Raw genomic sequence first — 27,201 nt, 5'->3', positions numbered from 1 at the left:
CCTTAAACAAGTAAGCCATTGTTGAAAATGTGCTCACCCTTAGGTATTAAACAATAAATATTAGTCTTGCTTATTGACTGTTACACATGAAAACATGCTACGAGTTTAGAATTTGGAAATGAACCAGCAGAGTCTGGGGCTCAAAGAAATCTCTCTCTTTGCTTCCTCCCGCCAGCTATCTACTCTGTGTCACTTGGCTAGTCCTGTACATTTCAAACCTGTTTCTCTTCCATTACCCAGATACTTCTGGTGCCAGATACTATTGAACACGGATATATTGTGATACATCCTTTAATCCTGCACCTTTACAGTAAACCTATCTTTACCAGATTGAGGCTCCTGCTGGAGGCCAGCTGGCTATGAAAGAGTGAATGAAAGCAATGCTTTCTTGAGCTCTGCTGCTTCAACTTAAAGGCACCTAGGAATCAACTAGGGACCTTGTTCAAATGCAGATTCTTTTTTTTTCTTTTTGAGATGGACTCTCGCTCTGTTGCTCAGGCTGGAGTGCAGTGGCACAATCTTGGCTCACTCCCAGGTTCAAGCAATTCTCATGCCTCAGCCTCCCAAGTAGCTGGGATGCCTGCCACCAAGCCTGGCTAATTTTTTTTTTTTTTTTTTTTTTTTTTTTGTAGAGATGGGGTTTTACCATGTTGGCCAAACTGGTCTCAAACCCCTGACCTCAAGTGATCTGCCTGCATTGGCCTCCCAAAGTGCTGGGATTACAGGCATGAGCCACTGCGCCCAGCCTCAAGTGCAGATTCTGATTCAAGTAGGCCTTGGGAGGGTTCTGAGACTGCATTTTTACCAAGCTTGTGGCTGGATCCACTGACTAGGCTTTGCCAAGCAAGGGGCCATGAAAGAAATTTGGGTAGGCTCCCCAGCGTTGGTGACACAACTCAGTCTTCCTATCCCATCCAAATCCCCCAAGCCCTCCACATTCAATCACCAACCCTCCTCTCCACCTCCCCTGCTCTAGTTTGGACCCTGATCACCCTCACAGGAATTATTGCAAAACTCTCCTGATTTAATCTCCTTGCCTTTTTTCCTCTTTAATCCTGTTTTTGAGGTTGCACAGAGATCTTTCTAAGATGCAAACCTTGGCCAGGCATGGTGGCTCATGCCTGTAACCCCAGCACTTTGGGAGGCTGAGGTGGGTGGATCACCTGGGGCCAGGAGTTCGAGACCAGCCTGGCCAACATGGTACAATCCCATCCAGTAAAAATGCAAAAATTAGCCAGGTATGGTGACACACACCTGTAATCCCAGCTACTTGGGAGGCTGAGGCAGGAGAATCACTTGAACCTGGGAGGTAGAGTATATTCGTCTGTTCTCACGCTGCTAATAAAGACATACCCAAGACTGGGTAATTTATACAGAAAAGAAGTTTAATTGACTTACAGTTCCATATGGTTGGGGAGGCCTCACGATCATGGAAGAAGGTGAATGAGGAGCAAAGTCACATCTTATACAGTGGCAGGAAAGAGAGCTTGTGCAGGGGAACTCCCATTTACAAAACCATCAGATCTCATGAGATTTATTCACTACTGTGAGAACAGTATGGGGGAAACCATCCCCATCATTCAATTATCTCCACCTAGTCCCGCCCTTGACACATGGGAATTATTACAGTTCAAGGTGAGATTTGGGTGGGGACACAGAGCCAAACCATATCATTTTGCCCCTGGCCCCTCCCAAATCTCATGTCTTCATATTTCAAAACTAATCATGCCTTCCCAACAGTCCTCCAAAGTCTTAACTCATTTTAGCATTAACCCAAAAGTCCAAGTCCAAAGTCTTATCTGAGACAAGACAAGTCCCTTCTGCCTATGAGCCTGTAAAACCAAAAGCAAGTTAGTTACTTCCTAGATACAATGGGGGTACAGGCATTTGGTAAATACACCTGTTCCAAATGGGAGAAATTGGCCAAAATCAAGGCTCCATGCAAGTCCAAACTCCAGCAAGGCAGTCATTAAATCTTAAAGCTCCAAAATGATCTCCTTTGACTCCATGTCTCACATCCAGGTCACACTGATACAAGAGGTGGGTCTTTATGGTCTTGGGCAGCTCCACCCTGTGGTTTTGCAGGGTACAGCCCCACTCCTGGCTGCTTTCATTGGCTGGTGTTGAGTATCTGTGGCTTTTCCAGGCCCACAGTCCAAGCTGTTGGTAGGTCGACCATTCTGTGATCTGGAGGACAGTGGCCCTCCTCTCACAGCTCCACTAGGTGGTGCCCTAGTGGGGACTCTGTGTGGGGACTCTGACCCCACGTTTCCCTTCCACACTGCACTAGCAGAGGTTCTTCATGAGGGCACCGCCTCTGCAGCACACCCCTACCTGGACATCCTGGCATTTCCATACATCCTCTGAAATCTAGGCAGAGGTTCCCAAACCTCAATTATTGACTCCTGTGCACCCACAGGCCCAATACCAGGTTGAAGCTGCCAAGGTTTGGGGCTTCACCCTCTGAAGCAATGGCCTGAGTTCTACATTGGCCCCTTTCAGCCACGGCTGGGACACAGGGCACCAAGTCCCCAGATTACACAAAGCAACGGGGCCCTGAATCCGGCCCAGGAAACCATGTTTTCCTCCTAGGCCTCCAGGCTTGTGATGGGAGGGGCTGCCATGAAGACCTCTGACATGTTCTGGAGACATTTTCTCCATTGCCTTAGTGATTAACATTTGGCTCCTAGTTACTTACACAAATTTCTGCAGTGGGTTGAATTTTCCCCTCAGAAAATGGGTTTTTCTTTTCTGTGGCATCATCGGGCTGCAAATTTTCCTAACTTTTATGCTCTGCTTCCCTTTTAAACAGAAGTTCCAATTCCAAACCATGTCTTTGTGAATACATAAAACTGAATTTTTTTTTTGAGACTGAGTCTCACCTTTTTTAAGTCTCACTTTTTTTTTTTTTTCCGAGACTGAGTCTCACCCAGGCTGGAGTGGCACAATCTCTGCTCACTGCAACCTCTGCCTCCCAGGTTCAAGCAATTCTTGTGCCTCAGCCTCCCAAGTAGCTGGAATTACAGGTGCAAGCACACCACTTCACCTGGCTGATCTTTATATTTTTAATAGAGACAGGATTTTGCTCTGTTGGCCAGGCTGGTCTGGAACTCCTGACCTCAACTGATCCGCCAGCTTTGGCCTCCCAAAGTGCTGAGATTACAGGTGTGAGCCACCAAACCTAGCCAAGACTGAATGCTTTTAACGGCACTTAAATCACCTCTTGAATGCTTTGCTGCTTAGAAATTTCTTCCAAACAGATACCTTAAATCATCTCTCTCAAGTTCGAAGTTTCACAGATCTCTAGGGCAGGAGCAAAATGCTGCCAGTCTCTTAGTGCTAAAGTAACAAGAGTGACCTTTACTCCAGTTCCCAACAAGTTCCTAATCTGCATCTGAGACCACCACAGCCTGGACCTTATTGTCCTTATCACTATCAGCATTTTGGTCAAAGCCATTCAACAACTCTCTAGGAAGTTCCAAACTTTCCCACATCTTCCTGTCTTCTGAGCCCTCCAACTCTCTAGGAAGTTCCAAACTTTCCCATATTTTCCTGTCATCTTCTGAGACCTCCAAACTCTTCCAACCTCTACCTATTACCCAGTTCCAAAGTTGCTTCCAAATTTTTGAGTATCTTTACTGTAACACCTCACTACCTGGTACCAATTTACTGTATTAGTCTGTTCTCACACTGCTAATAAACACATACCCGAGACTGGGGAATTTACAAAGGAAAGAGGTTTAATGGACTCACAGTTCCGCACGGCTGGGGAGGTCGCACAATCGTGGCAGAAGGCAAATGAGGAACAAAGTCACATCTCACAAGGCGGGAGGCAAGAGAGCTTGTGCGCAGGAACTCCCATTTATAAAACCACCAGATCTCGTGAGACTTATTCACTACCATGAGAACTGTATGGGTGAAACCGCCTCCATGATTCAATTATCTCCACCTGGCCCCACCCTTGACATGTGGGGATTATTACAATTCAAGGTGATAATTTGGGCGGGGACACAAAGCCAAACCATATCATGGAGGTTGCAGTGAGCCAAGATTGCATCACTGCACTCCAGCCTGGGTGACTGAGTCTGTCTCAAAAAAAAAAAAAAAGAAAAGAAAAAGAAAAGCAAACCTAGTCAAGGCCCATTCCAGCTTTAGCCCTTTTGCTGGCTCCCACCTTTCCTTAAGATAAAGTCCAAACTCCTGGACTGAGCCCACTGGCCCTCTCACAAGCTGGGCCCTGCCCACCTCCCCCATATCCCAGTAACATCACCTCCCTCTGTGTCTCGGCAATGTTGTGGTTCCCACATGCCTTTCCACATGGTGTGCCCTCTGCCTCGAATGTCCTTACTGTGAGTCCTAGTAAGGGAAAAGGAGCTAGGCTTGGCAGGACCAGGGGAAAGCAAAAGGAGAAAGCAGATAAGCTGTAAGTCAGCCTTTGTTTATGGTCCAGGACACACAGCCCTCCTTCACGAATAACTCATAATCTTCCTGCACCCAACTTATCAGCAGACCTTCGGCTGATAGAAAAATGCAAGTTAGCTCACTGCAACCTTGGCATTACCAGCACTGCACAAAGCTCTCTTCAGCACACAGTACAAGCGGCATACCGTAAAATCCCCAGCAAGCCTTCGTCTCTTTGCAGTCAGCTCTTCTCTTGCTGACCTGCCCATTGCTTCCTTGCAACATGTTTTCCTAGTTTCTCTAATAAATCTGCCTTTCCTCACTGACAACTATCTTAGTAAAATTTTTTTATCACCCTCATGACAGCGGCCCCAGAAAGTCACCACGTGCAACATTTCCCACCTATCTGCAGGACAAGCTTTTATTCAGCCTTAAGTACTCTGGCCAAATATCACATCCTCAGCAAAGCCTTTCACAATTCCCCAAAAGAAGTTAAGGTGTAAACACACTCTCCATTGTACTATTTCTGTACCTTATACATGCTTTCCAAGATGCTGTCCCTCCTATGCACGATCAAGCTCTTAAAGTCAAGGGTCACGTCTAGTCTTCATTATGTTGTCACTGAAGACGTAGTTCTGAGCTAACACATAGCTTTACAATACAGCTTATGTCTTCAGCGCCTGTGATCAGGAAGAGAAAGCATGGAACCATTCAGGATGCCTGGCTTTTAGTCCCAAATCTAAATTTGCTCAGCCAATTTAGGCAGATCACATTAATTAGACTCTCTTTTCCATTGAGATTTATGACAAATGACAGTATAAGTGAAAATGCTTTGAAAAATATCAAGTGCTATAAATGCAACAATTTAATAATTTCAACGATCAAAAAAGCCACTTTTCATTGAACACTTAGGCTGTACCAGGTGCTTTACATAGATTGTTCCTCATTCTGACAGCATTCCTGGGAGGGAGGTAGCAGGAGCCACACTGTGTAGACAAGAAAACCTTTGCTAAGAGACATTAAGAATTTGTTTCAAGTCACACTGCTAGTAGATGGCACAGCCAGGACTCAAACCCATATATCTGGTGACCCCAAATTTATGCATTTTCTAGTAAGGTTTCATGTAAGGTTGTCTTATGACATAAAACTATATTGTATGGCCGGGCGTGGTGGCTCACACCTGTAATCCCGGCACTTTGGGAGGCCAAGGCAGGTGTGTCAATTGAAGTCAGGAGTTCGAGACCAGCCTGGCCAACATGGTGAAACCCTGTCTCTACTAAAAATACAAAAATTAGCTGGGTGTGGTGGTGCATGCCTGTAGTCCCAGCTACTCGGAAGGCTGAGGCAGAATTGCTTGAACCTGGAGGCCGAGGTTGCAGCAAGCTGAGATCACGCTAGAGTGAGACTCTGTCTTAAGAAAAAAAAAACAACTATATCGTATTATCCAGTTTCAGATGCATCTAGCATCATAATAAATGATTGAACTTTTATTATTTTTACTTGTCTGCACATAACTTTTAAAAATGCGAAAGGTTTAAATTTATCTGTGATTACTTCTTACTCCTTTTTTTTTTTTTTTGAGGCAGTGTCTTGCTGTGTTGCCCAGGCTGGAGTGCAATGGCATGATCATGGCTCACTGCAGCCTTGACCTCTTGGGCTCAAGTGATCCTCCCACCTCAGCCTCCCGAGTATCTGGGACTACAGGTGCACACCACCACACCCAGCTAATTTTTAGATTTTTGTAGAGATGGGGTCTCACTATATTTGCTCAGTCTGGTTTTGAACTGGGCTCAAGCAATCTCCTGCCTTGGCCTCCCAAAGTACTGGGATTACAAGCATGAGACACCACATCTGGCACTCTTACTGTTTCTTGAGAGCAGGTTCATGTCTTGTTTAAAGTGCTTATCATAATGTTTAGCACTTAGCAGAAATTCTATAATGTTTATTTTTTAATTGTTAAATATTGTTAGTCTTTAGTTTCAACATATGAAATTGCCATTTTTGTAGGCCCAAATTTGACAAATATCAGCAATTTCATATGATTTAAGCTATATCTTTAAGAAAAAGTTAAAGGAAAAATAAATCAGTTGAAAATATGTTTACTTGAGCATCCTGGTTTCCAATATTATGTGTATACTTCAGCATTTCCATGTTTTTTTTTTTTTTTTGAGATGAAGTCTCGCTCTGTCGCCCAGGCTGGAGTGCAATGGCACGATCTCAGCTCACTGCAACCTCTGCCTCCTGGGTTCAAACGATTCTCCTGCCTCAGCCTCCCGAGTAGCTGGGACTACCGGTGCGTGCCACCACGCTTGGCTAATTATTTTTGTATTTTTAGTAGAAACGGAGTTTCAACGTGTTAGCCAGGATGGTCTTGAACTCCTGGCCTCGTGATCTGCCTGCCTTGGTCTCCCAAAGTGCTGGGATTACAGGCATGAGCCCACCGCGCTCAGCAGCATTTCCATGTTTTAGTGTATTGTTTCCTATTCTCTGAAAAAAAAAATCTTTGAAATAGGTTGAAATTTTCCCCAAAATATCAGTCTCACATTAACAAGCAGCAGGTTGAAACACAGATACTCTCCTATGCCTTGCATCCCAAAGGACCCCAAATCCTTTATGTTTTTCCTGAATTTGACAATAATATTAATTCCCAATTTTTTTTTCTTTTTTTTTTTTAGATGGAGTCTTGCTCTGTCACCCAGGCTGGAGTGCAGTGGCGCAATCTCAGCTCACTACAACCTCCGCCCCCAGGGTTCAAGCGATTCTCCTGCCTCAGCCTCCTGAGTAGATGGGATTACAGGTGCACGCCACCACGCCTGGCTAATTTTTGTATTTTTAGTAGAAATGAGGTTTCATCATGTTGGTCAGGCTGGTCTCGAACTCCTGACTTGTGGTCTGCCCACCTTGACCTCTCAAAGTGCTGGGATTATAGGCGTGAGCCACCTCGCCCAGCCTAATTTCCAATATTTTAAGAATGTTCCAGCCCAGCATGGCGGCTCATGCCTGTAATCCCAGCATTTTGGGAGGCCGAGGCAGGAGGATCACTTCAGCTCAGGAGTTTGAGACCAGCCTGGGCAACATAGCAACCTTGTCTCTACTAAGATTTAAAAAATTTAAAAAAAAAATTATCCGGGCATGGTGGGGCTCACCTGTAGTCCCAGCTACTAAGAAGCCTGAGGCAGGAGGATCACGTGAGCCCAGGAGACTGAGGCTGCAGTGAGCTATGATTGCTCAGCCATTACACTTCTAGCCTGGGCAACAGAGCGAGACTCTGTCTCAAAAATAAATAAATAAATAAATAAATAAAGTAAATAAAAGAACGTTCCAAAATGTCAGATCTGTGACAGAATATAAAACTATCATAGAATATAGTATTTTGTGGCCAGCCATAGTGGCTCACACCTGTAATCTCAGCACTTTGTGAGGCCGAGGCGGGCAGATCACCTGAGGTCAGGAGTTTGAGAACCGCCTGGCCAACATGGCGAAACCTTGTCTCTACTAAAAATACAAAAATTAGCTCGGCATGGTAGTGAGCTGAGATAGCTTGACCCCTGGGAGACAGAGGTTGCAGTGAGCCAAGATTGCGCCACTGCACTCCAGCCTGGGTGACAGAGCAAGACTCAGTCTCGAAAAAAAAAAAAAATAGCCATTCCCTCTCCCCACCCCAAGTTGTAGTAACAATTTAAGCTCCTGCTCCTATCAGGTGAAGTAGAAATGCCATTAGCTAACACTGCTGAGTCAGTATTTTCTGAGAGGGTAGAAAATTCCTTTATCAGAAGAACACAAAATACTGCTTCTACCCAGGAAGCAATGTATTAAGCAATAGATACATTTATATCCAGAGATTAACAAGGAAAAACTTAAAAATAAAGAGTTAAGGCTCAGATGGATGGAGTGAAAGCCAAGGGTGTTCTGGAAGGATGGAGGAGGGGCATTGGGACTCTCTGTGTAGTGGTCAGTGGAGGGTCTGTGCATTTGCTCCTTGAAGCTTATGCCCCAGCCCGACGGAGACTTCGGGGAAACAATTTTTATTAAAGCAAGGGTAGCAGAATGGGGCAGGAGATGAGGAAGAGACAGTGATTATGTATCTCTATAAAGCTTTATGGCTTCCACAATCTTTTTACATGCATCACCTTGAGCTTTAATATTGTCTTGTCAAGTCACATGGGGAAAATGGTCTTATCTTGATTTTGCAGATTAAGTGACTTCTAGGAGGAAACTTGTCCAGGCCAAACTTGTCCCGTCCTTTGAAGCCTTCCAAGCTTGCTACACCTGGGGCACCATCCAGTTTGCCTGCCCCATTGCCTCCTAGGGAACAAGGGAGCTGAGTTAGATCCTTTTAATCCTGGTGGCGTAGTCAAGCCAAGGCATGGTAGCAGATACATCAATGATTATGAACCAACACAGCAGCTAACTGACCCCAAAGCAAACATTCCTGACATGGCTGTGGCCCAGGGCCTTGTCAATGTCCCCAGGGGAAAATTCCCTCACCAGGATGGGAAAAGTCTCACAACTGTCAGAAGGCATTTGTCCACTGTATTTCTTAGTGTGAAAGAATAAGCTTACTCAATAAATTTTTTTTTTTGAGACAGAGTCTTGCTCTGTCACCCAGGCTGGAGTGCAATGGTGCAATAGCAGCTCACTGCAACCTTCCCCTCCCGGGTTCGAGTGATTCTCAGCCTCCAGAGTAGCTGGGATCACAGGTGTGCACCACCACACCCAGCTAATTTTTCTATTTTTTTTGGCCAGGCTGGTCTTGAACTCTTGGGCTGAAGTGATCCACCTACTTAGGCCTCCCAAAGTGCTGGGATTACAGGTGTGAGGCACTGCACCCGGCCTCAATAAATAACTTTAAAGATTCCTCATCCTTGTCTTTCCAAAAAAATTGGAAAAACAACTTTGGCCGCATCTGCATCCCTTACTTTTCAGAAGAGAGGCTTCCGAGCGAAGAGCGGTGTGTGTACACATCATACCTATTTTTGAACTAACTTACATTATGAGCAATTAAGGAACTTTTTTAAATAAAAGATTTTTAGCCGGGCGCGGTGGCTCACGCCTGTAATCCCAGCACTTTGGGAGGCCGAGGCAGGCGGATCACGAGGTCAGGAGATAGAGACCATCCTGGCTAACACGGTGAAACCCCGTCTCTAGTAAAAAATACAAAAAATTAGCCGGGCGTGGTGGTGGGCGCCTGCAGTCCCAACTACTCTGGAGGCTGAGGCAGGAGAATGGCGCGAACCCGGGAGGCGGAGTTGCAGTGAGCAGAGAGCACGCCACTGCACTCCAGCCTGGGCAACAGAGTGAGACTCTGTTGTCTCAAAAAAAAAAAAAAAAAAAAAAAAGAGAAAAGAAAAAAAGATTTTTATTTCAGATAAAATTAATATTTCCATAATTAGGATACACACATAATTAGCAAACACACATTCTTGAGTCCATTATTTAAGGTTTATTCTATAAACGACTTCCATGAGTATTAGAGATCCTGAATGTCATCTGAATATTTGTCTACACACTTGTGGGCAGCTTCTGTAGACTTTTCTTTGTAGAAATTCCAGTTTTTCTGAATTCTTCCTTTTCCTTCAGGTTTTCCACTTTGCATTATTCATAAAAGGCTGGGTCATTATAGTGAGCTGTTAAGACATTCTTTCAATGCAGAATTTTCTTTCCAGCATTTTACTACCATAAGGATTCCAGAGTTCTTGCAACATTTGGTAAAATCTTGAACTTGTCAGAAGACCTCTCTCTGGCCTTTTCTCTCATTATTTTAGGGATCAAAACATCTTTTTCGACACGTCTGAGCTGCTGCTCCAAAAACCTGTAGTGTCTTCCCATTGTTTTTGGTATAAAAATCAAACTCCTTGAAATGGTTTACAGGACATTTCATGATTCACAACTGAAACTCCTCCACAGCGATGGCACACACTCCTCTTTGATCTCAATTCTTCTTTCTTGTGGTCTTTGCTTAAACCACTGTTCTTTAAATTTCACAGAGCAACCATCAGAGTTGTTAAATTAATCCGCGGGGTCGAGTGCCATCGCGGCGGGCGGAGAAGCAATTAAGGAACTTCTCTAATGAACTTCTGGTGCACAACAAAACCATGTAGTCTCGAAATTTTAGTTCCTCCGCAGTCCCCCATTGTGTTTTATGCTACCCCGCCTTCCACAGTCTCTAGGGACCCCTAACCGACCCCCTTGGCTCTCAGGCCATAATCTCACAACCCTCCCCAGCCCAACGGGGTCCGCCAGCGCTGGGCTGTAATACCACTCGCCACCAGCAGATGCCGCAGCCCCAACGCTGCACAGAGCCAACTTTCAAAATTACCACCGAGCCTGTCGGCAGCCATTTAGTGCCTGCTGTATACTTGCCAAGCGCCACGCAGGGCCCTTCGGGTCAACCCTGTACCAGTTGGCCCAGCTGCGAAATGCGGCGATCGTTAGGGTTAAATTAGTAAAATGGTCTACAGTGCTTTGAACAATGACCGGCTGGTGGTGTGAAATTATTACCAGGCCGAGACCAGCCTGGAGCCGGCTCCTGCCTCGTGCCGTCCCGCAAGGAGGTCCTGCCCCCGGGCTTGCCTTCCAGCCAGTTGGGGCCTTTGCCCTTTTTCCTGTCGCCTGCCACTAAGCTGCTGCTAGGAACCCCGGCTGGAATTTAGCTCGCCTCCGGCAAAGTGGTGGGGGCGGGCCCGGGTCGGGGAGGCCACATCACCTGCTTCCTGCAGGAACTTTTAGAAGGCAGGCAGCCCGGAACATGGCACGGTGGGGCACGGTAGGGCGCGAGGGGCCGCGCCCCTAAGGCCTAAACTCAACATAAAGTTTCTTCTTTGCCCTCCAGCCCAGCCCCAGGGTCGGGGCGCGTTTATCGCGCCGCGCACAAGCGTGAGGAGCGGGGGTTTGCGGGGCCTCTTGACTGTACCTGGGGCTGCACCTGCCAGGAGTGCGGAAAGGCGCAGGGCCGAGGTCCCCAAGCCCAGAGCGGGCGGCAGCTGCGGGCGACCTCGGAGGGCAGAGCAACCTCGGAGGGCAGGGCGTCCCCGCTCCCGGCACGCACCAGTGCCCGCGCACCCCAGCTCGCACGTGGCGCTCGGGCCCCGGCTGCACGCGCACGCGCGCAGGGATGCGCCACGTGCTGGGGCCCCACACGCGGGGAGGCTGCGCTCGGCGAGGGCGCGCGGTCCCACGGGCGGGGAGCCGGGCCCCGCGACCCACCCGCCTCGGGCCACCAGTCCCCTCCCAGCGCCCCGCGTAGCCTGGTCCCGCGCCCGGGCTCCCGGGCTCCCGGGCTGGCACCGCGAGGCGGCGCGCCGGTCGCCCAGGGCCGCCGAGGGGCGGGGCCGCCCGTATTGTTCCTCCCCGAGCGGCTGGCCCTCCCCTTCCCCCAGACCCGGGCGGGGCGCGGGGCCGCCGAAGCCGCGGAACGTGGGCTCGCGCGCCCCGCCTTTGTCTCCCGGGCGCGAGCCGCCGCAGCCCCGCGCCCGCTGCTCGCTGCGGAGCCGTTTTGTGCCGCGGCGCGGGGGAACGGGGACGCGGGGCGGGGGGCGCGGAGCCGGCGGGCGCAGCCTCAGCATGGACGTGACAGTCTCGGAGCTCCTGGAGCTCTTCCTGCAGAGCCCGCTGGTGACCTGGGTGAGTGCGCCTGGCTCCCCGCCCCTTTGTTGGTGCACCGGCTTCTCTCTAGCCCGGCGACGGGACGCCGCAGACCCGACACGGCCGGGGCCCCGGGTGGCTCCGGGGCGCGAGGGACGCAGCAAGTGGCTCCCGGCCGGGGTTGGGGCCGCGTCCTGGAGTCCGGAGCTTTGTAACTCTGGAGCCGGCGCCCCCGTTGTGCGTCCGGCGCGGGACCCCGCCGCGCTTTCGGCCGGGCCAGGAGCCGGGCGGGTACACCTGTTCCCGCTGGGGCTCTAGGCTGGCTGCCTCGGGGCGGACCGGGTCCCAGTGGTCACTCCTGTCCCTGGGGTTTAGCCACTCCCGAAAAGGACCCCATTCTTCCCAACCAAATATCTCATGTAGTTTTTCTGAATCCCTGAGACCAGCCGGTGGATGGCGGTGACGGGTGGGGAATGGGGGGCGCCGAATGGGAAAGCGAACAGACTGGGGTGGGCGCACTGATTTACAATGGATTTGAGACGTGAGACATTTATTGAAAAGTCCTTTTTATTTTTATTTCTTCCGCTCTGGAACGCGGGAGAAAAGTGGCGAGGAAGTTTTTCCTCCTGTCTCGTGTCTGTTGCCCCGCGCGGGGAGGGGAGACAGGCCCTAGGAGAAGGCCGGGCTTGGTGCCTGCTGAAGGGTGGTGTGGGCGTGGGTGACCCCCTTCTGCTCACACTGACCCGTCCAGTCTCTGCCTGGGAGAGCTTTGGACCGTTTGTGCGCACGGGGTGACTTCCTGTCTTTCTCTCCTCGTCCCCCTCCCCGCAGGTGAAAACTTTTGGCCCGTTTGGAAGCGGCAGCCAGGACAACCTGACTATGTACATGGATTTAGTGGACGGCATCTTTTTGAACCAAATTATGCTGCAAATGTAAGTTACCTTCTTCTCGGAGGAAGGAAAGAATGGTGCGTTAGAAAGTTTGAGAGTAGAAATGGAGTGGAAGGTTGCATGGCGGGGTGTGTGTGGGGTGGGGGGTAGTTCTCTGAAGGTGGAGACGCTGGTATCTCAGTATTAACGTGCCTGTTGGACATTCGTAGGTGTTTGAAGAACTCCAGGACAGTGGGTCTGGCAGTTGGTTTGATGAAGGAAATTTGGAATTGAATGACTGTCATTTACGTGGTGTAGATAGTGCAATTGACTTCAGACTCAAGGACTTAATTGTGGTTTGAGCAATGAAATGAAAAAGTCCCCTTTTGGAGGGCAAGGAACTGTAACGGAGAGTGTCTGGTTACAGGAAGTGTCGGGGTGGGCCCAGGCATCCGAGGGTTACTGTAAAGTTTCATTTTAGATGAGGGTGTCTGTGTTTCTGAGCTCCTTTACATTTCATCTTCCTTTTTCAGTTGCCCCAAAGCAAGTGCAATTCATTAAGTCCTACTGTATGGACTGAGTTTAAAGTCACAGTGTTAGGAGGGTCCCATGGTGCTGTTTGTTTGGAAGCATGCAGCCTGAACAGGGTCTTAGTAGAAGTTACTCTTGCCAGCGAGTACATCTGACCACATCCTTTCCTGTTGCTGAGCTCTGCACGGCCTGATTGACAGCTTGCCACAACGTAGGTGTTGGCTTCTACCTTTGCATTCTGTTTTTAACTCAAACTGCAGGGAACATTGGAACTGAGTGTCGGGATGATTCACAGGCACTTGAAGCAAAATAAAACATCCTAATGTTCTCTGTGGATCAGCCTCGTGTGCGCACCTATTCACCTACGACTGAGCAAGTTGTCATACTGGAGCATAAATCTATTAGCTAATGAGAGATCAGCTTCGTTTGTGGCTCACAAAGGCAGAGGAGCAGTTTGCTTTGGCATATCCAGAAAGTGGCTTATATAGATTGCCTTAAACAGCCTGTTTAGAAAAAAATAATTCAAGAACCTTGCTTTTTTTTTTTTTGGAGACGGAGTTTCGCTCTTGTTGCCCAGGCTGGAGTGCAATGGCGTGATCTCAGCTCACCACAACCTCCGCCTCCCGGGTTCAAGCGATTATCCTACCTCAGCCTCCCGAGTAGCTGGGATTGCAGGCATGCGCCACCACGCCCGGCTAATTTTGTATTTTTAGTAGAAATGGGGTTTCTCCATGTTAGGCTGGTCTCGAACTCCCGACCTCAGGTGATCCGCCTGCCTTGGCCTCCCAAAGTGCTGGGATTACAGGCATGAGCCACTGTGGTGCCCGGCCTCCTTTTATTTTAATAAGTCATTTGATGTCATGCTGTTTAATGGTTTTTGCTTTTTTTTTTTTAAAGTTCACAGCTGTGGGTGTAGGAAAAAAAGTCACTACCAATCTTACCAGTCTTCAGTGTCTGATTAGATTGAAAAACATAAATCTGTTGCCAGCTTTGACAGCACTTCTTAGATAACTTTGTTGAAACTGAGTTTTCCGGAAGCTGTCTCGTGGCATATTCGAGTTCTGGCCACTCTCCCCTCATTCTGTTAGACCCTGAAAATTACTGGATTCCATTGGCGCAATGACCGGTGAAACTTCAACCTGTCCTTACCCAAGCCCAAGACTGTTTAATTAAAAAAACCAGCAGTATCCCCAGCCTTTTCATTCAGCTCCTACACCCAGGCAGAGGGGGGAACAAAAGCACTGGGACTGTTTCTCTTTCTTCCCTGACCTTTGGAATTCCTGAAGCGTTTCCCACTTGCTTGTAAATCAGGAAAGCCTGTTGGACCGTTCCTTTGAGAAACGCCAGCTCATCACTTGTTCTCATTTGGCCCATGGCTAAATTCGGCCGGGGTGGTGTGGGGTGGGAGGGTTTCTCCCCTTCCCTGGGCAATTTTAGATGTTCTCTCTGTGATATGCCAAGGTAATCATTCCAGAAGTGGGAACTGGTAAATTGTAGCTCTTAAGACTTCAAGAAGTGCTTCTGGGTCCCTCAGGATGAGTTGGGCACAGAGGAATGGAGCGTGGGGAGGCTGAATGGCTGGCTTTCCAGAATGAGGAAAGAGAAGAGAGAGCGGGTGGGCATGGTTTCCTGCATGGGTCATCAGAATCACCCAGTTCCAGGTGATAGAAGTCAGAATAGTGTTTTTGTGTCTGGAAGTGGTGAGGATTGACTGGAAAGGACCCGGGGGAACCTTTTCAGGGTAGTTGAAATGTCCTGCAGAGTGGCTGGAGTATGTTTCATTTTCCAAAACTCCTCAAATTATAACTTTATGCATTTCATGCTATGTAAAATTACCTCAACTAAACAATGAACCCTGGCCTGTATCGGACAGCCTACATAGCCAGCTGGGATTCAAACCCTTGGCCTCCCTTTTACCAGCAGTGTGACACTGGGCATGTCGCTCAGTGCCTTAGTTTCCTCATCTGTAAAATGGGACGTAAAGTACCTTCCTTAAGAGATGGTTGTGAGGACAGAATGAAACCTTGTGTTAACATTTAGCTATTTGCCTATGTAGGTGCCATCTTAATCCAGAAAGGATTTGAGGCACCAACTAAAAGTTCTTTTTTTGTGTGGCCTACCTTTTCCCCCACATTCTTCGATCCTTGGATTACCCCACAGTTCTCAGCCCTTAGCCCTCTACCAATGAGGTCTAGGGCAACATTGGACCCTGGGACCCAAGTCCTAGCCCCGCATTTAGACTGTACTGCACTTAAGCCTCTGTTTTCACTTCTACCAAATGGCAACATGTCACTAGCCAGCAGGTAAGGGGTAAGGCTGTTCTGCCTCATCTCCCATACCAGTAGCTCCTAGACTGTGCTATTTGCCTGTTTTGATTCCTTCACCCCAAGTTTGTAGGACCTGAAGAAATCGCGTTGAGCAGTACTGCTAACAGAGCTCAGATAAGAGGCTGTTACCTAACACCTGGGAGCCTTGTGGAGGTTGGCTGGGGGTCACGTGACTGCACCTGGCCATTGTCTCCGGCAACCGGAGAAGGCTGTTAGTAGTCTCTCGGCCCTGGTCTCCTGGTGACATCAGCACCTGGAAGCAGGGAAGCCCCACAGGTTCAGCTTTCTGGGGAGGCCCAGGGCTAGGAGAATTCATGAATGAAACTGAGGCTTTGAGTGGCCTGGATGGAGAGGCCTGGGAATGCCTGCTCAATAGCCCCTCTGTCAACACAGTGTCTTGGGTACCTACCAGCACCCAAGAGAAAACAAAGTTTGCTCTGGTTAACTTTGGACACGTTTTTCATTCTCTTGTAGGAAAATTATTTAAGAGCCTTAACCCTAGCATCAGGCAGACAAGTTCAAATCCCCACTCTGCCACTTCCTAGTGTTATTATGTTGGGCAAATGACTGAAACTCTCTAAGCCTTGATTTCCTGATCTGTAATAAGGGGATGGTATTTTACCAATTTGGGGGAGATTTAAATAAAACTATGTATATAGAACAAGCCTAACATATGTCTATCATTGTGCAGATGAGGCCCAGATCTGAGTTTGTGTGTGGACATACGTACGTGTACCCATGCCCTTAGTGCTGTACATCTCTACTTGTGAGAGTAAACCATCCGGTTTGACGCAGTGGCTAAAGTTGGAACTTGGTACTAGGGCTGAGAGCTTGTGCCCTTTAAGTTCAACCATATTTGTTCAGGCTGCTTGTGACCCCTGGTGCTAGCTGCAAAATTCAGGATACTGTGTTAATTATTCATAGGTTAGAAACATCCTCGGGGAAATAGGAGAGTTTCTTTACCTCCCAAAAAGCATTTGAAGGATAACTTTTACCCCAGTGCACTTGAAGGAGAGTTTATGTTTCCCTTTTGCAGATGTAGAAGCTTAGGATAAAAGGGGAAATTTTACTTGTTGGTTGAATGAATTTGTATTGGCGCAAAAATCTTGGGAAAAAACAATTTTTACCTATGAACTTAAGTAATTTCCATCTTTTGGCTGCAGTATATGACACATGGGGGCTTTGAGTCCTTAAAAATTATACAAACAGGCTGGGCACGGTGGCTCACGCCTGTAATGCCAGCACTTTGGGAGGCTGAGGTGGGCGGATCACAAGGTCAGGAGATCGAGACCATCCTGGCTAACACAGTGAAACCCCGTCTCTACTAAAAATACAAAAAAATTAGCCAGGCGTGGTGGCGGGCGCCTGTAGTCCCAGCTACTGAGGAGGCTGAGGCGGGAGAATGGCATGAACCCGGGAGGCAGAGCTTGCAGTGAGCCAAGATTGTGCCACTGCACCCAGCCTGGGCAACAGAGCCAGACTCCATCTCAAAAAAAAAAAAAGAAAAAAATACACAAACTATGTTCATCTTAGGAGAATAGGAATATATACAGATGAGCAAAATAAAACTTGCCTGTGATTTTACCATGTGGAGGTAGCAATGTCAATATTCTAGTGCCTTCCGAATGTTATCTATGATATATATTAATACGTGTCCTTAATGTATTAATATTTTTATACAAATATGGACTCTTGCTATTGTTTTTTAGCATGGGTCCATATTTGTATAAAAATACATTAAACATATATAAAAACATTTAGCATGTTTTTTAACCTGTGATAAATTAGGGATATCTCTCTGTGTCAATACATAGTTTCTTGATTTAGCTTTAAATTTAGGAAGTTTTTGGAATATGACCAAAAGTTGGGGGCTGGCTTTCCCAAAGGAGGGGGGCAAGGTTACTGTAAGCCTAAATTATAACTCTTTTTAAAATTCTAGCAAGAATTGGTTATCTTTCTTCTTCCTTTTTTTTTTTTTTTGAGATGGAGTCTCACTCTGTTGCACAGGCTGGAGTGTAGTGGCTTGATCTCTGCTCATTGCAACCTCTGCCTCCCAGGTTCAGGTGATTCTCCTGCCTCAGCCTCCCGATTAGCTAGGATTACAGGCGCATGCCACCATGTCTGGCTAATTTTTGTATTTTTAGTGGAGACAGGGTTTCACCATGTTGGCCAGGCTGGTCTCGAACTCCTGACCTCAAGTGATCCTCTCACCTCGGCCTCCCAAAGTGCTGGGGTTACAGGCATGAGCCATCGTGCTTGGCCAGTTTCTTTTTTTCTAGTTGGAAGTTTTTATGAAAAGGAATCCCTGGGGGCCCACACTTTAGACTTGGAACTCTTGGAACTCTCCAAGTTCCGACCAGCTACCATATTTATGTCGTGTCCTCTGAGATCCTGATACTAGAGTGTTGGCCTTTTAAGTTTTAGGACTATCATATAAAGATGATTGTTGTTCTGAATGACAACTTTTGGGGAAGTGCAGTTGTTTAGCGGTTATAATAACATCTTCCTGTGGTACAGAAGCAAGTACAGTCCACGTTTGCTACTGCAGATGTAGGCTTCATGGAACCATATAGACTTTGAAGGCCGGAAGGATCCTGTAGCCATTTTGCAGATGAGAACACTGAAGCCCAGTGAGCTTTGGCTGGGCTTGGGACCTGGGCTAGAACCCATGTCTCTTGATTCCCATTTTGTACAGCATGGAAAGGTGGGAGTTACGGGGGTGCTGGGCAGAGTGGAGATTGAGATGTGCCTGCCTTAACTGTAGTTGAGGCTTTTGTTTTGATTAGTGTCCTGATAGCTCTCTACCCAGAGAGGCTTAGTTAAAGGAGGGAGTCGTAATAATCACGGTAAGTAGCTTAATTACTCATACAGTAAATGTCAGGGTTCTTTTAGAGTTGTTTCAGTGAGCTATTTCTTGCAAGAACTGGGGAGAACAATAGCAGGGATGGTCAGAGGCTTCTATGCTGTGATGTGAGGGGACTCCCAGGTTCCCGACCCTGAGTGTATGCTATGCCTTTGCACGTGCTGGAGATGTCCACGATGTATACTGAGGCTTTCGGCTCCTGGCCACTCCTGGGGTGGTCCCGTCTGACTTCAATGAAAGATGGGTCTACAATGACAAAGACCAAAGAAAGAAGAAACAAAACAGAAAAAGCGCTGCATGTTCTCTGAGTTCTGCTATTTTAAGAAGTGCATTTGTCACTGTGAAATTGATTTTCATCTTTTAAGGTATCTACAGTAAAGGGAGGGGAATTGTACCTTTAAGATAAATTACTTTATGCTGCCAGGAACACTTCTGTAGCTAAAAATGCCTTTGCAGTTTAAATTCTGAATGCCTCTTCTTTTCCTGAATTAATTTCCACAGAACTCTTAACCTTTATTTTCTCAGTTATGCATGACTCCAAGAGAAACATGTAACATGTAAATGACTTGGCCACACTCCATCACTGTACTTCCAGAAACATTTGAAACGTTTTCGATTTGTAGGGTTTTTTTTTCCTTTGTCAATTTTCTACTAATTATTGGCTTTGAATGAGCCAGATGGCATTGAGATTGATTTCCTTAACTCCCCACACTAACCCCCAAGAGGCTCAGCACCTTCATCACGGGGTCTGGATAACAGAAGAAACTGTGAAGACAGGCTCTCCTTTGAATTAGCCATCCTTTGCGGTGTCTTGGGACTGTCAGATGGAAGGGAGGCCTTTGTTATGAAAAGCAGCGCACAGTCTGTGGAAGGGTGGAAGCGAACTCAGTAATGCTGAGTGCTCTTGTCTAATGGGGAACGTTTTCTGACACTGAGCATTTTGAGAAATGTCCTGTATATAGATGAGGGAGGGACATGATACATCACTTGATGTAGATTTCTAGTTTCATCACAGCCAGACCCAACTTTTGCCTGAGGTTGGAAAATAAATGACACTTCGGGGATTCCCCACATGAATTAATTGTGTCTCTTAGCATTTCTTACAGGGTGCATTGTACACCATAGAGTGCCATAGATTGTTTATGCCAGTTTCTCAAGATAGGATTTTTGTCCCTGGAATTTGTAAATCACAGGGAGGACCAGCCCAAGACCAATTCGCATGACAGAGGGAGACCTGTGTTTAATGGAACATTATGATTTTATTGGCGAATTAAGTCAGAAAATGTACCATTTTGGCCTGGCACAGTGGCTCACACCTGTAATCCCGGCACTTTGGGAGGCCAAGGCGGGTGTCACTTGAGGTCAAGAGTTCGAGACCAGCCTGGCCAACATGGTGAAACCCTGTCTTTACTAAAAATACAAAAATTAGCTGGGCGTGGTGGCATGCACCTATAATCCCAGCTACTTGGGAGGCTGAGGTGGGAGAATCGCTGGAACCCAGGAGGTGAAGGTTGCAGTGAGCTGAGATCGTGCCACTGCCCTCCAGTCTGGGCAAAAGAGCAAGACTCCGTCTCAAAAAAAAAAAAAAAGAAATGTACCGTTTTAGGCTGGGCACAGTGGCTCACACCTGTCATCCCAGTGTTTTGGGGGTCTGAGGCAGGAGGATGGCTTGAGGAGTTCGAGACCAGCCTGGGCAACATAGTGAGACCCTGTCTCTATAAAAAAAATTAAAAAAAAATTAGCTGGGCCTGTAGTCCTAGCTGCCTGGGAGGCTGAGACAGGAAGATCCCTTGAGCTCAGGAGTTCGAGGCTGTAGTGATCTGTGATGGTGCCACTGCATGCCAGACTGGGTGACAGAGTGAGACCTGTCTCTATTTAAAAAAAAAAAAAAACTACCATTTTTCTCCTTCTGTCTTTCTTGATATTTCACATATTTTTCTTTGTTCAGCTTTTAATTCTTTTAATCTTGAAATATATTTGGCTGGGTTGGTTTTATACAGTATAACATTTGGGGTCTGCACTGATATGTGGTTGGTTTTTGTGGGTGCTAGGAACGGTGGGAATGGAAACAGCACTGACTGAGGGCCTGCGGTGGGCCAGGTGCTCGGGTCAGGGAGCAGAAAGGCGATGTGGCCCACCTGAGGTCCTGGCTTAGCAGTGGCAGGATTGGGATTTGACTTGAACCACAACTGCCACAGCACAGCCTCATGGTCACCTAGGGACTGGAGGACAAGATGCTGGGTCGTGGCTGGGAAAGGAAGTGTGGCAGCTGCTGGGAGATGCAATTTCCATTCTCGTGTTTCTTCCCCTAGAGATCCCAGGCCCACAAATCAACGCATCAATAAGCACGTCAACAATGATGTGAACCTTCGCATTCAGAATTTGACCATCTTGGTGAGAAACATTAAGACCTACTACCAGGTAAGGGCAGTTCTGCTGTCGGGAATTCTGATGTGTGTCCATCAGTATCGTCACTGTCACGGTTTTCCCACAGGAGGCCGGGAGGAAACGGTGCTTATGTTTAGGCCTCTACTTGTTGACAGTTGGTCTGCTTTCATGTGAACCCTTTGTTGGGGCATGTGTGAGGATGAGATGGTGCGTTGATTTCCTTTGTTTGGTGAATGTTCTTTGAGCTGTGTGTAGCATCGTGCTATATGCTGTGAAGGTCCCAGAGAGGAGCCTCAGTTTGCAGCCTCTGCCCCGAGAATGCAGTTGAGTGGGGACTGGCTGGAATGGGCTTCCTGAAGGTGACCCTGAGGTGGTTATCCGCAGCCCCTGGCTCAGTGGCTCTTTATACAGGAGCCATTCAAGGGTTGAGGGAGAGGAGGAACCACTGGAGGGTTATGAAGATGGGACCAAGAATGTGATTAACCCACCTCTAGCTGCAAGCAGGAGCACTGGGCTTAGGGAGCGTCTGTCTTTCAAGTGTTTACCGCATCTGATCTGTGTGGTCAATGGGACAGTCAAGCCAGCCTGATGGGGATTTGCTCTTTAATATCCCAGGCTGGGCGCGGTGGCTCACACCTGTAATCCCAGCACTTTGGGAGGCCGAGGCGGGTGGATCATGAGGTCAAGAGATCAAGACCATCCTGGCCAACGCGATGAAACCCCACCTCTACTAAAAATGCAAAAATTAGCTGGGCATGGTGCACGCCTGTAGTCCCAGCTACTCAGGAGGCTGAGGCAGGAGAATCGCTTGAACCTGGGAGGTGGAGGTTGCAGTGAGCCAAGGTCATGCCACTGTACTCTGTCCTGGTGACAGAGCACGACTCCATCTCAAAAACAAACAAAACTAAACCCAAAACCCATCCCAGCCTTGGGAAGGCCAGTTGAGTCTTTGATGGTGTTAGTGATCTCTGTGTGGCCAATACGGATGGAAATGGACTGAAACTGTGTACCTTGGAGCCCTGGTTTTCAAACCTTTTCTTAGCAGTGAAACGTTCCCCCCATATGATTTTTCTCGAGAACCCAGGTGAAGCCCAGTGCACTGTGCTCAGCTGTCTCCTCGGCCTCCAGGGCATCTGTCTGGGTTCCCGGGACTCCAGAGGACACAGATTGAGAACTGCTCAAGAACAACTGCCTCCCAGATTCACGCCAGCGTTTCACTAAACATGTGACCAGACTCCGCCTGGGACCTGTGCCTCGCACTTGGCTTCCTGGGCTGTAACTTAGTCTTGGTTCTGGGATTCGGGAGCATCTTTGGATGTTGTGAGGCCTCTGTTGACATGAGGAAGCCGTCTGGCCAGCCGTGACTCCCCTTCTGCCCTTGTGCAGTGGTTGCTGGTTCTGGGGTCTGCTGAGGGACTGCTGGGTGGGCTGCCAGGCAGAATGTGTGCTGTGGCATTGGGCTTTGTGCTGGGCCCAGTTCCTGTTGAGGGCTGTGGTTGCTTCTGTTTCAACATGAATTTGAAACTGAACGTGAGAGGGAGGGAGTGGACAATGGCCTGGGTTTTCTGAGATGGTTGTTTCCGTCCTCCTCCTGTTGGGTGGGGGGGGCTGGCGTAGTTTGCCTGTGTGGGCCAGTTCAGTGAGCCATCTGTGCTCAGTCCAGAGACCATTGGGAGAGGGGCACTATGGGCTCTCTGGACATTGCATCTGGGAAGCTTAGAACCAGCCCCATCCCTTTAGTTCCAGATGTCTGAGGTGGGGGCCGAGGGTCAGGGAGAGGCCTGGAGGGCTGGTGTGGGAGCCTGTGAGAGTTGGCTCTGGGGATTTGAAGGGGAGCCACACTCAGCATGGTGTATGCTATAGGCAGGGGCATTTCTGCTGGCGTCTCCCTCGCGACAGCCATGCACAGGGGCAGTGGGGTAAAGGCAATGGTGCTGTCAATGACCTGGGCATCTGTGATGAGGGCCTGGTGGCTGTGCCGGCTGCTCAGCAGATACGCAGGGCATGGGCCCTGTCTGCAGGTGCCATTCGTGACAGGCAAGTGCTTTCAGGACTCTGTGCTGAGTGCTAGGGGAAGCACATAGTGCTGAAAGTTCAAGAGGCAAGACCCCCTAACCCAGCCTGCGTGCGGGCAGTTGGGGAAGTCTTCTTGGAGGAGGTGATACCTGAGTGGAGTTTCAGTGGGCAACTGAGTTTCCAGTTTGGAGGGTCATGGGAGGGAATGGGCAGGGCTGGCCAGAGCCAGTGGTATAGCACTGGGCAGGTGTCTGCATCCCTGTCCTCCCTCCTCCTGCACTGTGAGCTCTTGGGTGAGCTTGGATTGATGAAGGTCTCAAATGGAGGTGAGGTTTCTGAAGGTCTTTGTGAGTAGCATGGGGCAGTGAGGCTCTTGCTGCAAGCTGTTTGGCCATAGAAATGCCATCCTCTGGCCCTGCCAGTCCAGGAGGACTTCTGCTGTTGGTGACCAGCCACTCTGAGGGTCCATCCAGCTCTGGGCCGGGCAAAATGGACTTGACACTCACTTGAGACTGTGTGGGTTTGAGAAGCAGTTTGCTGTTCTTGGGGTACTGTGCAGAGTTCCAGAAGATGGGAAGTGGCCACACAAAGTAAAAGATGGCCAGCCCACCCTCAGGGTCCAGAAGGACTTCCAGATGGAAAGAGGACCCTGCATCCCTGCTCTCCCTCCTTTTGTGCTGGGAGCTCTTGGAGGACTGGGCTGGTGTGCGCTGGCAGTCTCGGCCCAGCTCAGAGCAAATGGTCAGTCAGTGTATGCTGACAGTACTTGCTGCTGACCAGGGAGTGGTCACTGCGTCTCAGTCCTGCCCTCTTGAAGGAAGCTGACAGGACGCTTGTGTTCAGGGCTGACACATTCCATGTGGACGGTGTTCTGCTGTGTGTTTTTTTTCCTTCCAATTTATAACAAAATAAAGTTTTTGTTATATAGGTCATACTGTACGTGCTCTTTGTAAACAGCTTAGAAAACAGACAAGTAGCAAGAGAAAAGACCCACCCATCAGCCCAGCACCCAGAGACAATCGCCGTTAACGTTTGTAGTATTTCCTTTCAGTTCTTGAGTGAATAGTTTTTGTTTTATGCCATTGTGGTTGTTGCCATATATACAATTGCGTATCCTGCCTTTTTTCCCTCCCACCTAACATTATAGCACAAACATAACCGGTTATTATAGTAAAGGGGTATTCCAGAACATTTCCGTAAAGCTGCCGCCCGGCCTCTTCTTGGGAAAGTAGCCCCGAAGGTCCTGAGGGCTTGGAATGAAGTGGGACAAACCTTGTTCCTTACTCTGACTGGGGTGCTGCGTGGGCGGGCCTCCCTCTCACCTGTGGCTTTTTGGTAGACACATCAAGGTCGCGCATTCTGGCTCTGGGTTTTGTTTGCCAGGAGATGGCTCTGTGCCCCTAACTGTCCCCTTCTTCTCTGCGGCACACTGGAGCAGTGACAGTCTGGAAGGCCAGGCCTTTCCTAAAGAGCGTGGGCCGTGTCGCTAGGATGCTCAAGTTGACCTCTGAGAACCTGGGGAGGCAAAGGGTCCTTGACCTTTTCCTGAGCAGGGCATAGGTCAGCAAGTGGGTGGAAACCAGTGTGGCTGAGATCCTATCCCACCACCGGGGTCTAAGGCAGATTCTCCGCCTTCCTGGCTTACTGCATTGGACTCTTCTGGGATTGGGGCCCTGGAATCTGCATTTTCTTTTCTCTTTTTTTTTTTTTTGAGATGGAGTCTCGCTCTGTCGCCCAGCCTGGAGTGCAGTGGCGTGATCTCGGCTCACTGCAAGCTCTGCCTCCCGGGTTCATGCCATTCTCCTGCCTCAGCCTCCCGAGTAGCTGGGACTACAGGCACCTGCCACCACTCCTGGCTAATTTTTTTTGTATTTTTAGTAGAGACGGGTTTTCACCGTGTTAGCCAGGATGGTCTCGATCTCCTGACTTCATGATCCACCCGCCTCAGCCTCCCAAAGTGCTGGGATTACAGGCGTGAGCCACCGCGCCCAGCCAAGGAATCTGCACTTTCAAAAATTTCCCAGCTTCTTGAGTCTCACCATTCCAACAGGATTGAGAATCAGTGGGTGAGAGTGGTGGTTCTTCAAAGGATGGTCCCCAGATCTGCAGCCGCGCTGGGAGCTTGTTAGAGATGCAGATTGTTGGGCCTGCATGTAAGTTGGGAGTCTGTATTTTAACAGGCCCCCAGGTGATTCTGACGCACATGCCCATGGGAACCACTGGAACCAATGGGTTAGAACATTTCTGGTGATTTCTAGAAGAGTCACGTTGAGCTGAATCTCCTGGGTAGAAGGAGCTCAGTCCTCACCAGGTGACCCTTCTCCATCACATACACCAGATTCACGTCTCACCGCCCCAGGACAGGAAGGCAGGGTCTCAGACTGGAGGAGGGGAAGGAGAGGATGCGGTTACCAGAGGGAGCAGGGGGTGTTGAGGGGGTAGCTGAGAAGGGGCAGAGAAAGCCAGAGTAGGACAAAGCCTTGGAGAGAGAGCACCTGGGTCAGTCTCTGCATTTTGGAGAAGAAAAGGCTGGCCTGTCCAATGTGGGGACACCGGCTTTAGGACAGCACCCTCAAATGGGATATCTGCTGAGCAGCCTGGAGGACAGGCAAGGCTGGGCCAGAGCCCCACGCTGCCTCAGCCTGGCTGGCCAGGTTTACCCTGTGTCCTCCGATGCTTGTTTTACTCATTCAACAGCCAACCTCCTTTTCATCTGGCATTTTAAAAATTTAATTTAATTTTTTGAGATAGGGTCTCTCTCTGTCGCCCAGGCTAGAGTGCAGTGGTATAGTCTTAGCTCACTGCAACCTCCCCCTCCACTGGGCTCAGGCGATCCTCCTACCTCAGCCTCCCGAGTAGCTGGGACCACCAGTGGGCACCACCACGCCTGGCTACTTTTTGTATTTTTAGTAGAGACAGGGTTTCACTATGTTGGCCAGGCTGGTCTCAAACTTGGGAGCTCAAGCAGTCCTCCTGCCTTGGCCACCCAAAGTGCTGGGCTTATAGGCACGAGCCTGTAAGGCTCACGGCGTCTGGCCTGGCTTTTGTTAAAATTAAATTTTGGATTTATGTAATGGTTCACTTTTTTCATTAAGAGCCTTGAATGTTTACATTAAATGCAGATAGTGGAGTCAGGCTGAAAGTGAGGCTGTTCCAGCAGAAGTCCGCCCTGTGCAGCAGTGGCTGGCCTGTCTGTGCTCTGGGGTTGTGCCTGGCATCCCATCCCCATTCCCTGCCCTGGACACCTTCAGTCCGGCGCCTTGTCTGGAAAGGGCCTCATTGTCATGTGAAGTTTCTGAGGTTTCTTTGGCTTTGTATGGCGGGAAGCACTTCAGATGGTGGCCTGGATACATTCCCTGTGTGTTGTTGGAGACGTATGTCTTTGTCATCGAGTCCACACGTGGATATCTCATCCAGTGAGATCGGGACCCTTGGATGGATGTGGGGACTTACCCATTGGATTCACTCTGAAATGAGGAATTTGCTGTTTCTTCATGCGCCTCTCCTCGCCAGGTGCAGAGGCAGCAAGGCTGGGGTCCCGCCGTCTCTCTGGGCGGGCTGCTCTCCTTCTCTGAGCCTCCTGAGTGCCCTCCTTCAAGCAAAAGGGGGTGGGCCTGAAATGCTACAGTTGCATGGTGACCAGAAACTGCGAGATTTAGAGGAGATTTAGAGTTTACGATCAGCTCAAGGAAGTTTAGCTTTCTGGGTTCCTTGAGCTCGGCTCTCTGACTTCTGGCCTCTAGCATGGGCACAAGGCCAGAAGGTTCCTTATCTCAAGTGAAACAGCAGAATAAATACAGCCCGGGTGCCTTAGCTTCTCCCAGCCCTTTTCTTTTTCCTTTATTGTTTTGAAGAATTAAAAATAAAACAGTACAAGTGGTCATAACGAACACTCACATACCTGTCGTTCAAAATAAATATGAACATACGGTTCTATTTTTCCATATTTGCTTGAGACCTTTTCCTTTTTTAAGAAATAAAAATTTTCTCTTGAGATAGACGTTCCCAGCAGCCACTACTAAGCCCTGTTGTCCTCTCCCTTCCTGGGGTTAACACCTCTCATTAATTGGGTGGTATCTACTTAACACTTTTATCCGCTTGCTGTGTTTATGTGTGTGTGTTGTATATATATGCGTGTGTGCACACTATACACACTTGTGTACACACACACACAGCTTTGTGTGATCTTTCTTCGAGACTTCCATAAACGGCAGCACACTGC

At 48.6% G+C, this 27,201-nt stretch overlaps 1 protein-coding gene, 1 long non-coding RNA gene and 1 pseudogene across 7 annotated transcripts in view, besides 8 other annotated features; 1 reads left to right on the top strand and 2 right to left on the bottom strand.

Annotated features, from left to right (window-relative positions):
* Positions 1-4,795: 4,795 nt before the first annotated feature.
* CCDC88C-DT (CCDC88C divergent transcript) lies at positions 4,796-11,409 on the bottom strand. Of its 2 annotated transcripts, NR_184261.1 has the most exons (3): positions 11,315-11,409; positions 8,532-8,706; positions 4,796-5,081 (listed from the first exon to the last, which is right to left on the bottom strand). It is a non-coding gene; the product is annotated as a CCDC88C divergent transcript (long non-coding RNA). The 2 variants fall into 2 exon arrangements; NR_184262.1 differs by lacking the exon at positions 4,796-5,081 and having other exon boundaries at positions 8,411-8,706.
* Positions 9,825-11,202, bottom strand: LOC112268126 (COX assembly mitochondrial protein homolog; annotated as a pseudogene). The gene has a single exon (XR_007064303.1). The product of XR_007064303.1 is annotated as a COX assembly mitochondrial protein homolog (transcript).
* Positions 10,420-10,469: an enhancer, noted in NCBI's record as "active region_8921". NCBI's record gives its function as "activates an Ori minimal core promoter by ATAC-STARR-seq in GM12878 lymphoblastoid cells {active_cell/tissue: GM12878}" and the evidence as "EXISTENCE:reporter gene assay evidence [ECO:0000049][PMID:35858748]".
* Positions 10,710-11,354: an enhancer, noted in NCBI's record as "H3K27ac-H3K4me1 hESC enhancer chr14:91884645-91885289 (GRCh37/hg19 assembly coordinates)". NCBI's record gives its function as "activates a minimal SCP1, AML or CMV promoter by ChIP-STARR-seq in primed H9 embryonic stem cells {active_cell/tissue: H9 hESC(primed)}" and the evidence as "EXISTENCE:reporter gene assay evidence [ECO:0000049][PMID:30033119]".
* Positions 11,420-12,339: a silencer, noted in NCBI's record as "silent region_6026". NCBI's record gives its function as "represses an Ori minimal core promoter by ATAC-STARR-seq in GM12878 lymphoblastoid cells {active_cell/tissue: GM12878}" and the evidence as "EXISTENCE:reporter gene assay evidence [ECO:0000049][PMID:35858748]".
* The window catches only part of CCDC88C (coiled-coil domain containing 88C), a 146,498-nt gene continuing 131,131 nt past the window's right edge, over positions 11,835-27,201 (top strand). For 3 of the 4 annotated variants that reach the window (NR_189158.1, NR_189159.1, NM_001080414.4), the window contains exons 1-3: positions 11,835-12,024; positions 12,817-12,917; positions 20,888-20,996. Coding sequence is in view for 2 of the 4 variants with exons in the window: in NM_001080414.4 (NP_001073883.2) it covers positions 11,965-12,024; positions 12,817-12,917; positions 20,888-20,996 (270 nt within the window). In the remaining 2 variants the exon portion in view is untranslated. Of the gene's footprint in view, positions 12,025-12,052; positions 12,277-12,816; positions 12,918-20,887; positions 20,997-27,201 lie in introns of those variants that run through there. The other variant, XM_011536796.3, reaches the window with a different exon arrangement.
* Positions 12,960-13,249: an enhancer, noted in NCBI's record as "active region_8920". NCBI's record gives its function as "activates an Ori minimal core promoter by ATAC-STARR-seq in GM12878 lymphoblastoid cells {active_cell/tissue: GM12878}" and the evidence as "EXISTENCE:reporter gene assay evidence [ECO:0000049][PMID:35858748]".
* Positions 13,260-13,389: an enhancer, noted in NCBI's record as "active region_8919". NCBI's record gives its function as "activates an Ori minimal core promoter by ATAC-STARR-seq in GM12878 lymphoblastoid cells {active_cell/tissue: GM12878}" and the evidence as "EXISTENCE:reporter gene assay evidence [ECO:0000049][PMID:35858748]".
* Positions 13,780-13,909: an enhancer, noted in NCBI's record as "active region_8918". NCBI's record gives its function as "activates an Ori minimal core promoter by ATAC-STARR-seq in GM12878 lymphoblastoid cells {active_cell/tissue: GM12878}" and the evidence as "EXISTENCE:reporter gene assay evidence [ECO:0000049][PMID:35858748]".
* Positions 18,668-18,747: an enhancer, noted in NCBI's record as "active region_8917". NCBI's record gives its function as "activates an Ori minimal core promoter by ATAC-STARR-seq in GM12878 lymphoblastoid cells {active_cell/tissue: GM12878}" and the evidence as "EXISTENCE:reporter gene assay evidence [ECO:0000049][PMID:35858748]".
* Positions 19,319-19,448: an enhancer, noted in NCBI's record as "active region_8916". NCBI's record gives its function as "activates an Ori minimal core promoter by ATAC-STARR-seq in GM12878 lymphoblastoid cells {active_cell/tissue: GM12878}" and the evidence as "EXISTENCE:reporter gene assay evidence [ECO:0000049][PMID:35858748]".

The sequence above is a fragment of the Homo sapiens genome, chromosome 14, assembly GCF_000001405.40.
Source record: "Homo sapiens chromosome 14, GRCh38.p14 Primary Assembly".
Classification (NCBI taxonomy): Eukaryota; Metazoa; Chordata; class Mammalia; order Primates; family Hominidae; genus Homo; species Homo sapiens.
Note: the sequence above shows the minus strand (reverse complement) of the source record. Positions and strands in the feature narration are given on the sequence as shown.